This window comes from Homo sapiens, chromosome 8 (assembly GCF_000001405.40).
Source record: "Homo sapiens chromosome 8, GRCh38.p14 Primary Assembly".
Taxonomy (NCBI): domain Eukaryota; kingdom Metazoa; phylum Chordata; class Mammalia; order Primates; family Hominidae; genus Homo; species Homo sapiens.
In genome coordinates this window covers 36,787,851-36,803,521 of record NC_000008.11, presented here as the reverse complement: position 1 = coordinate 36,803,521, position 15,671 = coordinate 36,787,851, and the positions used below count along the sequence as shown (strand labels likewise).

Sequence of the window (15,671 nt, the reverse complement as noted above, 5' to 3'; positions counted from 1 at the left end):
GAAATGCTACAAGTGAGAAGAAGGTGATTTTTTTTACCATGCCAGTGCCTCTGTAAAATAGGGTATCTCGGGGAATGCAATTGGAAACTGTCCATTAAAAGCCCTGGGGGTGTTTGGATAAAATCTTTGGCAGCTTTCATGATATTTGAGGTTAATTTTAGGTAATTTAACATTCCTCCAGTTATTTCTAGTTTCCAACCATCCAGCTTTTGAACATGTTCAGTCCAGTGTAATTCTAATAATGAAACTCTGGATTTCATTTAGGATTAAATCTTCTCTTTATTTTAGCTCAGATATTCCTTGAGTGGGCTACGTATATTGTGAAAGGACTCAGTTTCATCTCTATTAACCATTTCTAGGTTTTTATTCCTAGATTCTGCTGACTAGGCTACCTCTGACCTCTGCAGAATTGTAGCTCCATGTGGGGAGGGATCAGAAAGGGGAGATCAGAGAAGGAACTTGCTTCTCTGACTGGTGTTAGATCATGATGCTCACACCCTGCGGCTCTCTGGGCATGAAAGGTCTTTAATGTTTACTTTCATGGGTGGTCCCATTGTTCTTTGGAGATTCCAACTGAATTCATGTTCAAATTCCACAAACATTTCTCTAGCTCCTCTTGTGACCCAAGTACTCTTCTGTTCATCAGTGATCAATATACACAAAGATCCCTGCCCCCACATTGACATCACAGCCTGGATGACAAATGAAGATAATTAATATGCAAATCATCTGATATGTTAGAAGTGAAATACTTTGAAAATAAAACAAAGCAAAATAAAGGGGGAAAATGCCAGGGGAAGGGGAAGAGGAAAGACAATCTTTTTGATATTTAATGGCTAAGCATCCCATTTGCGGTTCCCTTGATTTCGGTGAAGCCTGTTCTCTCACGGCCACTCTTCTCTCACTACTTCTCACCCTCCTATTTTCTGCTGGAACTATTATCCTCCCAGATTCCCCATTCAGCTGGTTATAGAAGTCTCTCCCATGTGATTCACGTCTGGCACATGGAAACTCTTAAGGTTTCTTTGTTCCAACAAACACTGGAAGGGACAGATTATGTCCTGGGTGGCAACTCGTCTGACACAAAGCAGCTAGCCAACAATGAGCCACAAAGTAGCCACAGACCCGTCCTCTGTGCTCCCAAAGTTCCAAGGAAGGCAAACTGAGATTTCTGAGTGGTCCCTATTCAGCTTCCTGTCCTAAGTTTGAGATGAGAGGAAAGTACCCTGACATTTCTCCAACAGCAGAGCTCCTTCCAAAAACGCTCTTCTATTTCAAATTGACCCTAGTTTACAAGTGATTGGGTAAGAGGCTAGGAGCTTCAACTGGTTTTCTTTCAAGAGCTTTGTAAGTGGTAGTGTTGGGGTCTCAGCTCTTATCGTAAGTTCCTTTTTTTTTTTTTTTTTTTTTTTTGAGACGGAGTTTCGCTCTTTTCCCCAGGCTGCAGTGCAGTGGCGCAATCTCGGCTCACTGCAACCTCCGCCTTCCGGTTTCAAGCAATTCTCCTGCCTCAGTCTCCGGAGTAGCTGGGATTACAGGCACTCGCCACTATACCTGGCTAATTTTTGTATTTTTAGTAGAGACGGGATTTCACAATGTTGGACAGCCTGGTCCTAAACTCCTGGCCTCAAGCGATCTGCCCGCCTTGACCTCTCAAGTGCTGGGATTACAGGTGTGAGCCACGGCACTTGGCCCTGTAAGTTCCATTTTAAAAATCTAGGTTAAGTGTTGATGAAGATAGTACTAAGTTTGACGGTTTCATGCAGATATTCAGTTGCAACTGTGGTCTGAAGCTCAGAAAAGTTGTTGGGAGTGGAGATATATATATGTGTGTGTATATATACACACATATATACATTTAATAGCAGCATATTGATAATTATTAATAATTTTAAGGAAATCCTTTTGCTTTTCTTTACATATGATTATGTACATTTTTTCTCTTATGAAATCCCATAAAAGGTTCAAGTAAAAATCAAATATTGACAGATTTCTGGAAAGATGATGGCATATATTACTTACGTTTACAACCCCCCCAACCCATGGAAATGAACAGAAACATGTAAGTACATTTAAAAAGAAAAAAAAAAGATAGAAACAAAGAATTGAATACCACAAACCCAAAGATTATTACCCAGAAATCATAGGAAACCAACAGCAAAATGTATATTAAAACCAAAAGAAGGCACTGGGAGCTGACAGATTTGTGGACACTAACGAGAGGAAAGATCACCTGGTGCCCATCAAGCAGACCATCCAAATTCAAAACTCCTTAACTGAGGAATTTACAACTAATCAGACTTTCCTATTATCTAAAGCAGGCATCTGGTTCTATGTTTCTTTCCCCCAAATTTATAAGTAACTAGAATTTCTATACATCTCTGGATTGCATGCATGTAGAAACTCATTGCGCAACCCTTGTTGACATCAAGGCACCACAATGTCTACAAATGTAATCATTTATGATGACCCATGTGGCTAATATGGTTCAAATTTCCCTTAAGCTCCTGCTTTAAGGTCCAGAAACACCCCTAAGGAAAAATCCATCTCAACATACTCAGTCCTGTTTTGCTGAAGCACCTTGCTGCACACTCAGTCCTGTTTTGTTGAAGCACATTGGTGCACACTCAGTCCTGTTTTGCTGAAGCACGTTGCTGAACTCTACTGCAGTTTTCTTTCCTTCCAATAACACTTTCCTTTTTCAAACCTATACTGTTGTCAGTCATTCTTACCAACTCGCAAGATGACTACTTTCTGATGCCAGGGCTCTGACTGACACTGTTCAGTGAGTCGGGTAGGAATGAAAGATAATTCTGAGAAGAGCTGTACATTTTTCATTGGGTTGGAGGAGCAAAATCTGGAAGAGCTGGCTGTTCAGAGACAGGTAGAAAGCCCTTTACCTGAGCCATGGAGGCCATGGATTGGAGATGGGGCCACCCAGCCAAATAGTGGCCGAGAGGAGACACCCTGAGGCTGAGCACTCTCAGAGGAGGAACCTCTTGGCTAGTGACAACAGCTCTTTTTCTAGGAAGCACATCAGAAAGAAGTCAAAGAAAAATTAACTGAAAGAGTGGAGACCTCATCCAGACAGAGCCTTGTTTGTAGAGTTGCTGGCCCCAGCCTTATTCCCCAAGCTTATCTTTATGAGAAAACACATAGAAACCTGGGACTTTGATTTTCACAATGGGATCTAAAAAAACCTGTTTAGTTACAGGATAGTTGTGGGGGGTCTTCAGATAAGAAACAAAATCCAATGCAGTTTAAAAGGGGCACCAGGAGTACTCTAAACCTTGGGCATATTAACATACCATGGATAAGTGCCTGTTTTATGAGAAGTATAGGAAAACAGGAGGATCAGGCAAAGAAAGTATATGGAATGACTTTCATGAAAGAGTTAACACAGAATCTGTTACGATTCAGCATTTTAAAGTTACAATTAGAGTTTCTAGTGAGATTTGAGAGGATATTATACTGATAAAATAAATGCAGCCTACAATCAGAAGGAATGATAAGAAAGTGAGAGAAGTCTTAGGGCAGGAGGGAATGTGATTGACAAAATTAATGTCTCAATAGAGGTACTGAATAGCAGAATGGATACTGATGAAAGTGAACTAGAATAAAGGAATTCTCCAAAACCACCAAGCAAAAACCTGAGATAAAAATTATAATTAAAAGTGCAAGGGCTGGGCGCGGTGACTAATGCCTGTAATCCCAGCAATTTGGGAGGCCGAGGCAGGAGGATCCCCTGAGGTCAGGGGTTCAAGAGAAGCCTGACCAAATGGTGAAACCCCATCTCTACTAAAAATACAAAAAAAAAAAAATAGCCAAGTGTGGTGGCGTGTGCCTGTAGTCCCAGCTACTCAGAAGGCTGAGACAGGAGAATTGATTGAACCCGGGAGGCAGAGGTTGCAGAGAGCCGAGATTGCACCACTGCACTCCAGCCTGGATGACAGCAGAGTGATACTCCATCAAAAAAAAAAATGGCAGGGAGGTTAAATGCAAGGGAAACAACTATAATGGGCATTCTAAAAGGATAAGACAAACACTTCTACCCTGCCCCCCCTCCCAAAAAAAGAATAGCTAAATAAAAAAGCAAAAGATGATTCCCTGAACTGAAAACTAACCTGAGTCTAGATCGAAAAGGCCCACCAAGACTTGTCAGGGAGGAAACATTGAAAGAAGACACACACACAGCCATATCATGGCGAAATTTCAGATTTTGAAGATACGCTATACCTTTCTATATTGGAAAATATAAAAACATGGGTTATCTGCAAACTAAAGAGAGTAAGACTGACTTTGTAATTCTCCTTTCTAATCTGTATCAGTCAGGATGGGGAAGGGAAAGCAGAAGTCACACCAGTCATTTTAAGAGAATTGAATTTTAAAAATTTATTAAGCAGGATTGGAGGATCAGAAAGGCAGAAAGAGGAACACGGGCATAACTAACTGTGAGCTTCTGCACCCCGGTGCCTGGGGGATCAATAAAAAAGAGGTTGGAATTCTCAAAATTTAGTAGTTTAAAAGAGGTGCTCTTTGGAGTTGGGATTCAGACTGTCGACGATAAGAGTCAAATTCTGTAAAATATTTGACGAGATTTATTCTGAGCCAAATATGAGTGACCATGGCCCGTGACACAGCCCTCAGGGGATCCTGAGAACATGTGCCCAAGGTGGTCAGAGTGCAGCTTGGTTTTACACATTTTAGGGAGGCATGAGACAGCAATCAAATACATTTAAGAAATACATTGCTTTAGTCCAGAAAGGCAGGACTCAAAGCAGTGGTGGGGAGCTTCCAGGATATAGGTAAATTTAAACATTTTCTGGTTGACAATTGGTTGAGTTTGTCTGGAGACCTGGGATTGATAGAAAGGAAATGTTCAGGTTAAGGTAAAAGACTGTGGAGACCAAGGTTCTTCTGAAGTCTTATGATGGCTGCCCTCAGAGACAATAGATGACAAATGTCTCCTATTCAGATCTTTAAAATGTGCTGGACTCTTAGTTAAGTTCTTCAGGATTGGGAAGGCCTGGAAGAAAAAGATCTAGCTATGTTAATAGAGATTCTTTACAGATGCAAATATTCCCCCACAAAGGACAGCTTTGCAGGGCCATTTCAAAATATGGCAAATAAACATGTTTTGGGGTAAAATATTTTGACTTTCTTCTTCTGGCATAATGTTATGCCATTCAGATTGGAAAGTAACTCACAATATATAGGGTTAAATAAAACCCATCTGATGAGAATTTATGGTTTGTAGGGCATGACTCCCCACATCCCTTAGATAGGAATTTGGGCAAGATAAAATAATCAGAGCTTAGTCCTCAAGACCTAAGAGGAAGGAGTCCAGCACGGATGGTAATTGTGCCTCTGCAGAGACACTGTGAGCTGCTTGTGGCAGTGTTGGAAGAAAAAAAAATGGAAACAAGAACCAAGTACAACAACTGGACTAAAAATCTGTTGAGTAGGTGGGACTGAAAGGAACAGACACGAAACACAGAAGCAACAAACGGTTCCCTTTTCTGACCTCTAGGCTTCATGCCTCGTCTTGTACTCCCTATTGGCAGTCTAGGAGCAGGCTTACAGAAGAGACACACTTGCTGAGTTCTGGCCCCGCCTCACAAAACAGAGGAGAGAGGCTACATTGGGAGCTGCTAGACAATAGCTTAGTACCTGGCATGTGGCCCTCAGTGCTAGAAAACACTGGAGCAGCTTTTACAGAGTTTTAGGAAAAACAGATTGCAAGCCAAGAATTCTAAACTCAACCACATTGTTGTTTACTTGTAAGAGCAAGAAAAAAACTTTTTTGGACACTCAAAGATTCAGAAAGTATACTACCCACACTTCCCCATGGCAAATGAATATGGGCACTTCTTTAAAAAAAAAAAAAGAAGAAACATTCAGAAAGAAATAGTGTGTTATGTAAGAAAAACTGGTACATAATAAAACTGATAAAATTAGGTTTCAATGTAATTTTAAACTTTAAAGCGAATATTAAGAAGAAATCATGCTAGATGTATAATGCTACCAGAACTCCCGTGCAATTATTCTCATACAAAAGGAGCATATAGACATAACAAACACACAAAGATACACAGAGAAATATAGGGCAGACAGTTTGTTCTGTATTTGATTTACATAATCCCTATAATAGTCTATTAAAATTAAATTATCCACATTAGAGGATGCCAAAAAATAAATTAAAGTAATAAAAAAAAAAGTAGAAATGTAAATATCAGCCAGTGGTCAGTGCTTACTCTGCCTTGAGTGGTTTACATGTATTATGATAGAATTCTCCTTGCAACACTCTAATGGGTGTTATTATAGCCTCCTTTATATTCATATTATGTGAATGAATTCCAATTTAGAAAAATTAACTCACTCAAGATTACATACTAGGAAGTGGAGGCGCGAGTGTTTGAACCGAAATCTCCTGAAATTCACAATCACCATGTAGTTCTGCCTCTCTGGTGAGGTAGGAAATTCAGACCCTAGCAGAGCTCCTAGTGTGTGTCCAATACCTGTTCTCTCTTTCTTGCTAACAGATCTCCCATTTGTTTGTTTAAGCCACTAATATTTAGATATTCTATTATGCAGTATATTTAATCTCCAAATATTATAATATAAATACCAATAAAATAGATCACCATAAAGGAAAATGATTACATTCTCCTGGCAAATTAAAAAATAAATGTATTTTTAATACAACACAAGAACAAAAATCCAGCTATATGACACTTCCAAGAGACATACTTAAGAAGAAATAAGAAAGAAAGATTGAAAGAGAGCTGGGCAAAGATATCCTAGTCCAGTAGGAATACAATGAAAACAGGAGGATCAATGTTACATGCTAATATTGCATTCTAAAATATTCCAGCAAAAGCAAAACAAAGCCAAAAACAATACAAAATTTGGCAAAGATGGATATTTCATATTGATGAAAGGCACTGTCAACCAAGAAGATACAATAGGTGACTTTGTATATCAGTGGATATCGTATAAGAATATATCTTTCAAAGTCTGCTGGAAATACATGACAGTCAATAAAACTAAAAAATTATAAATGAAGCTGTCTGACATGTCCCTTTCAATCATTCAGCAAATAATTAAGGATATGGAAAACACATATAACATAATTAGTATTGCTTATACATCAAATAGACAGTCTTTCAAAATACCATTACATGGTAGTAAAAATTGATCATGTACTAGGCAACAAAGAATTTCTCCATAAATTCCGTGAAGTAGAAATCATAAAAGCTTTGACATTCTTGGACCATAAATTTCTACCAAAGTAGAAAAGATAGCCACTCTATCCCCAATCGAAAACCCCTCAATTCGAGGAAAGTGAAAGCATACAACATTTCTCTAAATAGATAATGTATCAAACAAGAAACCAAAATTAAAATTTAAACAACTGAAAAGATGAATTATGCATCAATAAAAATAAGAGCATTACTTGCAGAGTCTCTGAGATATAGCCAAAGAAGTACTCAGAGGAAAAATTCGGATACAATTAATTTCAACTCAAGAAGCTGGAAAATTTGGCCAGCCCAGATAGCTGTTTCCATGGTGAAGGCTGTGCAAGATGGTGGGACCTAGCCTGGGCTTGTGGTGCTGTCCTGTGCCTCTGGGCTAAGTTGAGGGAGATGATGAAACTCTGGTCCTGAATACAGGGATACCCAGACTGACAACAAATATTACCCCAAGCCCAAGGCCAAGCTGATCCAGAGGGCAAAGGATGAGCTGGATCTCAGAAAGACACTCATCAAAGCTGCCCCAGCCAAGAACACAAGTTCTGTGTTGGAAGATCCAGTGGTCCAGTGAATTCATCAACTTGATGTTGGAAGAAGGAAGTCAAGTACAGCCAGATCCTTCAGGACACAGACTCAGGGAACTATGGACAGGAGAAGTTTGGAAAGTACCACACTGCTTCTGCAAAGGAAGGGGCAAGTGTCCAGCCCAACCCCCACATCACCTTCCACCAACCACTGAGGAACTTTCCTGGGGTGCCAGCCTGGGATGGATCAGGTACACACCATCCAGGCGGCCATTTCTACCAAGTCCCTGTGCCCCTCGTTGACCAGCCACTTCCTGGCCTTGAAGGGGATGATTACTGACAGCCTGGACAAGGCATGGATGTGGATGCCAGATGTGAGGGGGGTTACTGCTAGAGCTGCTGGGTATCTGCAATCAGGGTCAGTGATTAAGAGAAAGTGCCAAGTGCATGAGACATCCAAGACTAGTCACTGCTGGTGACAGAGGCAGATAGAGGCTCCAGGGGGAAGGAGCCCAGGCCCGTCTGCCAAAGCTAACAGTGTGAGCCACTGCCACTGAAAACACCTGTCCTGAGGATGTTCTTTTTAAAGGGCAAGCTTCACAAGAACCATTGAGCAATGTGTTTATTACCCATTAATCCTTTTTTGCCCTGTGGGGTAGAATTAGCTCTCCCTGCCCCATCTCCTTGCAAAGAGGAAACGTGGATTTAGGGATTCCTCCCAAGAAATTTAGAGCCCAACTAGGCTTCTCTTTCTTCAGCTTGGGGTGGACTTTCATTTCTTATGTTTTTGTTTTGTTTTGTTTTGTTTTTGTTTTTGTTGAGACAGTTTTGCTCTGTTGCCCAGGCTGGAGTGGGTGGTGCAATCTCAGCTCCCTGCAGCCTCAGCCTCCTGGGCTCAGGCAATCCTCCCACCTCAGCCTCTCAATTAAATAGCTGGGACCACAGGTGTGTGTCACCATGCCTGGGTAATTATATTTTTATTTTTTGTACAAATGAGGTCTCACTATGTTGCCAGGCTGGTCTCAAACTCCTGGACTCAAGTGATTCTACTGCCTCAGGCTCCCAAAGTCATGGGATTATAGGAATGAACCACCATGCCTGGCCAGGATGGACTTTTGGATGGTAAGAGGAAGCAGTCTGGGTACCAGAAAAAGTTTATGAGAAAATGCTCATCCTGAACTGGTTGTGTAGCATGTGATATGTTCATATAACTGACTAGAGGGGGAGAAAAGGAAAATTAAGATAAATTGGAAAAAAAATACTAAAATTAAGAAGGCTAAGGAAGATATTAATTATACATATGTGTATGTGTATAAATTGTACTCACACACTGAGTTATATATATATTTATGTATGTAGAATTAATGAATAAAGCTACTTTTTCATGAGACTAATGAAACATATACATCTCCAAAAAAGCTAAATGAGATCAAAAGGTAGGAACATGACCCATGAGGAAAGGGGAAGAAAGGTGCAAATTAGAGAAAAAGAGGCATACCAAAAAAAAAAGGTTCTTTCTAATCAAAGCTGGAATTTAATCTGTGGGGCCATCAAGGAGACAAAGTTGTCTTCTCCCTGTTGGCTCCTCTTCTTTGGAAAATGACCTGTGACTTGCTTTCATTTAAAACAAAGGTGACTATATTATTTATTGTCCTAACATATAGACCTTTTTTTTTTTTTTTTTTTTTTGAGAGACAGAGTCTCGCTCTGTCACCCAGGCTGGAGTGCAGTGGCATAATCTCAGCTCATTGCAACCTCTGCCGCCCAGGTTCAAGTGATTCTCCTGCCTCAGCCTCCTGAGTAGCTGGGATTACAGGCGAGCACCACCATGCCTGGCCAATTTTTGCATATTTAGTAGAGACGGGGTTTCACCATGTTGGTCAGGCTTGTCTCAAACTCCTGACCTCATGATCCACCTGCCTCGGCCTCCCAAAGTGCTGGGATTACAGGCGTGAGCCACTATGCCTGACCATATATAGACGTTTAAGAATAAAAGAGGCTCTATTAACAATTACACTAGGACAACTAGCAGAAATCTGTGTTTATGATCATCCTAGTTACAACATAAAATGTCATGTTGATTAGTAATTACTGCTTAATGCCCCTAACAAATATTGTTTCCAATAATAAACAAGCGGAAAAATTGGAGAGCACATTTGAAATCTCAAGATAGGTGCAAGAAACCAAAAAGGAATCTAAATTTCTTGACATCTGCCTCAAAATATTATTTTATATATTTTTTTCTGGATTGAATTGTCATTATAATTTTCATTAAACAACATTATAAGCTGATCATTACAAAACATGAAAAGTAAAATTTTATAAAAAATTCATCCATGAGATGGATTTTTCTTTTTATTTATTTATTTTTATTTTATTTTATTTTTTATTATTATACTTTAAGTTCTAGGGTACATGTGCACAACGTGCAGGTTTGTTACATATATATACATGTGCCACGTTGGTGTGTGGTACCCATTAACTCATCATTTACATTAGGTATATCTCCTAATGCTATCCCTCCCCCCTCCCCCTATCCCACAACAGGCCCCTGTGTGTGATGTCCCCCTTCCTGTGTCCAAGTGTTCTTATTTTTCAGTTCCCACCTATGAGTGAGAACATGCGATGTTTGGTTTTTTGTCCTTGTGATAGTTTGCTGAGAATTATGGTTTCCAGCTTCATCCATGTCCCTACAAAGTACATGAACTCATCATTTTTTATGGCTGCATAGTATTCCATGATGTATATGTGCCACATTTGGGTTTTTCAAATTAATGTAGGTATTTATAGATATCACTTATTGTTAGAATGAGACAGGGTTCAACATCAATATTAGTCATGGTTTACGTTTATAGATATAAGTCCTGAGATATTTTGTTTATACAAATATTAATAACAATACCTATATATACTTATTATATGCAGAACCTATATATATTTTACACTTATTAACTCGTGTAATAATGACAACACTATAATAATGATTATAATGTTAACACATTCTTATATTTTAGCTCATTTATTGAAATCTATAGACAGCATTTTTCATCCCCACTTTATAAATTTTACATTGTATTTCTATGAGATATGTGTCAGTTTCCTCATTTAAAAAGCAGGTAATGATAGTGCCTCTCTTGAAAAACGGATTGTGAAATGGTAGTGGGGGAAAGGAAAACGAGCATGTGGAGTTCGCAGCTTCATCAATGTTAGGAAGTAGAACCTAGGAAAGTTGGAGAACTGTTCCACCTGCTGACCCTTCAGAAACCTGTTGACATCCTTCCCTTTCTCGCAGGGTCTATCCCTATTTGAAGACAGGATCTATGGACTAACTTGAATTCAGATCTAATTTTACCTCCACTGGCTTCACGAGCCATACACTTTATTACTCTCCACAAAGAAGTGCCACAGAAGTAACACATTATTTCAAAATTTTTATTTATAGATACAATTATGGGAGGAGAAGAGTATCCTAAGTGGCCTGAACACCTAAATAAAATAAATCTGACAATGTTGCTGAGAACTTGCAGAGCTTTGAAGGAAGAAACTCATGGCAGTAGGTACTTGCTTCTGGGGATAGGGGTAAGGAAGGAATTTAGTTTTTACTTTGTACTTTTAAAATACTGTATCATGTGCATGAAAATATAAACAATAATATCCGTAAATGATCAGTGTAGAAAAAAACATAAACAAGGTAATCATCTGCAAAAAATTTTCTAGGAAGATAGTGTAGTGTTTCCTGACAGTGTTTTCTTTATTTGTAGGATAACGATCTCTAAACTGTATTCTCATGCTACATACCAAAATAAATTCTTGATGCTTGATGGTATATTCAATATAAAATATGGAATAAGGAAAGGAAGTGGAAAAAAACAAAGATACAGCTCATCTCAAGGTGGTGGAAAAGGTTTATTTTCACATAAACAATGCATATAAAATATGAAGAGACTGATCTTTTCCAATATGTTTTATGTTTTTCTCATTTTTTTTCCGAGAGGTTGCATTACATTAGGAAAATGAGCAAAAAACAGCAAAATAAGTAATTTAGTCATTCCAGGCACCGTTTTTGAAATATTCTTTCCCATTTCCAAATGAATTATGATGCTTTATTTGTGCACTTAGTTCTTCTGTATACTAAGGTTGAAAACTGTTGTTGTTGCTAGGGGCTTAATTTATCTACAGAGAGGATTACACATTCACAGAAAAGGTTATGCATTTACAGAAAGGATTTAAGGCAGAATACAAAAACACAAAATGCTAGATTACCTGAAGAAAAAAGAAGCCAGAGAAGCCAGAAAAACAGAATGTGAACATACAGTAGTGCTTAGGATGATGTTAAAAATAGATACATTTGCTAAAAATAAGCCATAATTTTGGTTTTACATTTTCTAGCCACAAAGCAATAGAGAAACACAGTCAGTTATGTAATTAACAACCACACAAAATCTCAAAAAGAAATAAGATAATTGCTTGAGAATAGAACCATATTTGGAACTAAATTTAGAAGAAAATTTTTTTCCGCAGGTAGTTGATATAACACACCTAACCCATAGATGCACTAAACATCAAACCCATAGATGCTACAGAGTTGATCAATACCTTGTCATATTCTATTAATATTAACAACATAGGAAGACCTCTAGAGGACATGCTTTTTTGAAGGGAATCTTTTTATTTGACTGTTGGAGTTCCCTTCTCACGTTCCTACTTCCTCTTTTCCTCTTTCTCCTTTTTCCTTTTTTTTTTTTTCCATCTTCCTATTTTCCTCTTCCTCCTTATTCCTTTTCTTTGTCTTCTATTGAGTGGTTGCCCATGTATTCTCCCTCAAAGTATTAAGGGCATTAGTTTGTAGGGTATATAAAAAGTTGCTATTTGGGGGGATTTTCATATAAGTACTGTGTCTTCATTGGAAAAGAAAATGTAATGCTTTCTTTTCCATGACCTGGAGCTGTTTAATTAGCATTAGAGATATCTATTCCTTGAGGGTTTTGTAGACTGGTCCTTGAAATCATCCAAGTCTCTCATCGAAGGGGCAAAAAGGGAGGGTGGTGAAGATGATTATGGGTCTTTGACAACTTTGTTTTATCCAGATATTTGGTCTGTTTAAATTTCTCCTTTTATGGATAGTTTTGGTAATTCATATTATCATAAGAAATCATCCAGTTTTCAAAATTAATTACATATATATTTTCAATTTCCTTTTTATCTATACTTATTTTCTCATTTAAATGTCTTATTTCATATAGTTGTACTTTTTCCTTTTTTTTTCCTTTTTTATAGACTAGCTATTTATTTCTCTATTTCATTGTTTGAAGTAATCGGCTGTTTTATAATTCATTAATTTCTAACTATCTTTTAAATTTATTCTGCTTAGATTTAATGTTTTTATTCTCTAACTTTTTGCATTTGATACTTAGTTCACTAATTTTAATTATTTTTCATTTATCAAAATAACTTTTTAATGTTTTACATATCTTGAGGTTATATTTTTGGTGCAGTGATGTTAATGATGTTATATCTTCTTTGTGGTTTGTTACATTTATCATTTCAAAGGTTATGGTTGAATTTTGTTGAATTTAAGCTTATGTGATATTAAAACTGTATTCCTAATTTCTACCATCATTTTCCTGGCTTACTTTTGACAGTTCCTTTATTTTCAGCCTTTAGTGCCTCTTGAACCTTAAAATATAATCAGACCATGTCAACTCATACTTTAAGATCTCAGACATCCCTTTACCTTAGAATAGAGTGATTCCCTTTGAGTCTTGTAGCTCTTCCCTATGAATCTTAAGACACTGTGCCATTTTCCAGTCTCTTCTCAGACCTCGCTGTCCCCTGCCCTCCATGTCCCTAGCATAGGAGCCTCCTTCTGGTACTTGCAGTAAACTCTTGTGGAGCTCTTTGCCTCCGCAATTCTATTCTCTCAATCTGGAACTCTATTTCCTTAATTCTTCAATTGCTTTATTCTTTGTTATCATGCTTTAGCTCAAATCTTACCTTTTTAGAGATTTTTTTCTCTCACCACTGTGATCTTACTCTGTAACAACCATACCTCACAAACACTTCACTCATATTTCCCTCATGGCATTCCTCATCTGAATTTATCTTATTTATGTATGTATGTAATTTTCGTATCTACCCCCACTAGAATTTAAGTTTCTTAAATGCAAGTCTCTTGCTTGAACTTTCCACTATACCTAGAGTGTTGGCCTAGCATGTACTTGGCAAACAATAAATATTTGTTGAAAGAAGTAAAAGAATTACAAAGGAAGGAAAGAAGGATAGAAGGAAGGAACTATAAGACATTTTAAGAGAACTTAAAACTGTACTTGGGATCTCTAAGAGACTCAGTTATGCCTTTCCATGCTAGAGTGTTTTTTTTTTTAGATGGGGTCTCTCTCTGTCGCCTAGGCTGGAGTGCAGTGGCATGATCACAACTCACTGCAGCACTGCAGCCTTGACCACCTGGGCTCAAGCGATCCTCCTATCGCAGCCTCCTGAGTAGGTGGGACCACAGGTGCAGGCCAACACGCTGAGTTAACTTTTAAATTATTTGTAGAGGTGAGGTCTTGCTATGCTGCTCAAGCTGGTCTTGATCTCCTAGGCTCAAGCGATTCTCCTGCCTCTGCCTCTCAAAGTGCTAGATTACAGGCATGAGCCACTGCACCCGGCCTAGAGCATTTATTCTAATCTAAGCTTTACTCCTTGCCTCCTGCTGTTCCAACTAGCTAATCACCAGCTGTTATAGGCTAAAATAATACAGTTTCCCTTCATTAAATAAGTCATTTTTATTGGTATGTAATTTTTCATCATTCCTTTCCCACCCACTTCCCATATGCAATGCTCATATGATGGATGTTGTAAGTTCCCTTCTCCCTCACCCTAGTGACCTTTAATATATTATTCCCAAAGTTTCTCACACAAACATGACTTGAACATTTGAAGAGATCCTAACCAACAAATCCCTGATATCATCAGAGAGAATTACAAAATCCTTCTTCAATGGGTCATACCCACAGAGATTTCAGGAAAAGAGATCAAAAACTTCGGAAGACAGAAAAAGGAGAGGCACATTTCCAGATGATTCAACATTCCCTGCAGCTTTTATGAAAGCAGTTTTACTTAATACTTCCAACCAAGCTTTAGTAATTTATTAGATCAGAATTAAACAGTAACTGGAAAAGAGCCATGTTTTTGCTAGTTATAAAAAACAGAGGATAATCTTTAGCTCACATGAAACTACTTCCACCATAAGACCAACTGATGGCAGCATACCCCTAATTACAAATTTCATCTTTTCATATTTTAGATCAAACTACACTACTGAAAGGAGGATCAGGGCAATCTTCATTTATAGGGCATCTGCTATTTCCTGACAATGGGAAATAAACATTTCCATGACATAGTCTAGACAGGAGCTCACTGTACTCTGGGAGAGACAAGCATGTGCACAGATAATTTTAATAGCAATGCTCAACGATTATTAAAGAAGCTAGAGGAGGAACTCTTAGCCTAATAAAGAGGTAAGGTTAGGATGCCCCGAGAAGATGATGCCCAAAGTGAGATTTAATACATTCAAATTACCGAGATTAAAATAGGAAGTAGAGTGATAAATATCATAGAGGGACACTAAAGGCTAGTTTGCATAATGAAATAAAGAGTCTATTGAAATCAAAGGAGAGGAAACTAGCTATACATTTCAGGTCTGATTAGTTTACTAAACATTTTTTGAAAATATCTATGTGCACACCCATCTGCATATATAAGGAGAACCAAACGCTCACAAATATTGCCCTAACAAAGCTTTCTTCCTAGTGGAAAGACTGAAAATAAATATAAAATATGATTATAATACATAATTAGTAATTATATAATTATAAATATATAATTAGTCAAT

The 15,671-nt window shown here is 38.0% G+C and overlaps 1 protein-coding gene and 1 pseudogene across 8 annotated transcripts in view; one reads left to right on the top strand and one right to left on the bottom strand.

The window, feature by feature from the left end:
- The window catches only part of KCNU1 (potassium calcium-activated channel subfamily U member 1), a 151,752-nt gene that overhangs the window by 132,604 nt on the left and 3,477 nt on the right, over positions 1-15,671 (bottom strand). The window lies entirely within an intron of this gene.
- MRPS7P1 (mitochondrial ribosomal protein S7 pseudogene 1) lies at positions 7,555-8,259 on the top strand (annotated as a pseudogene).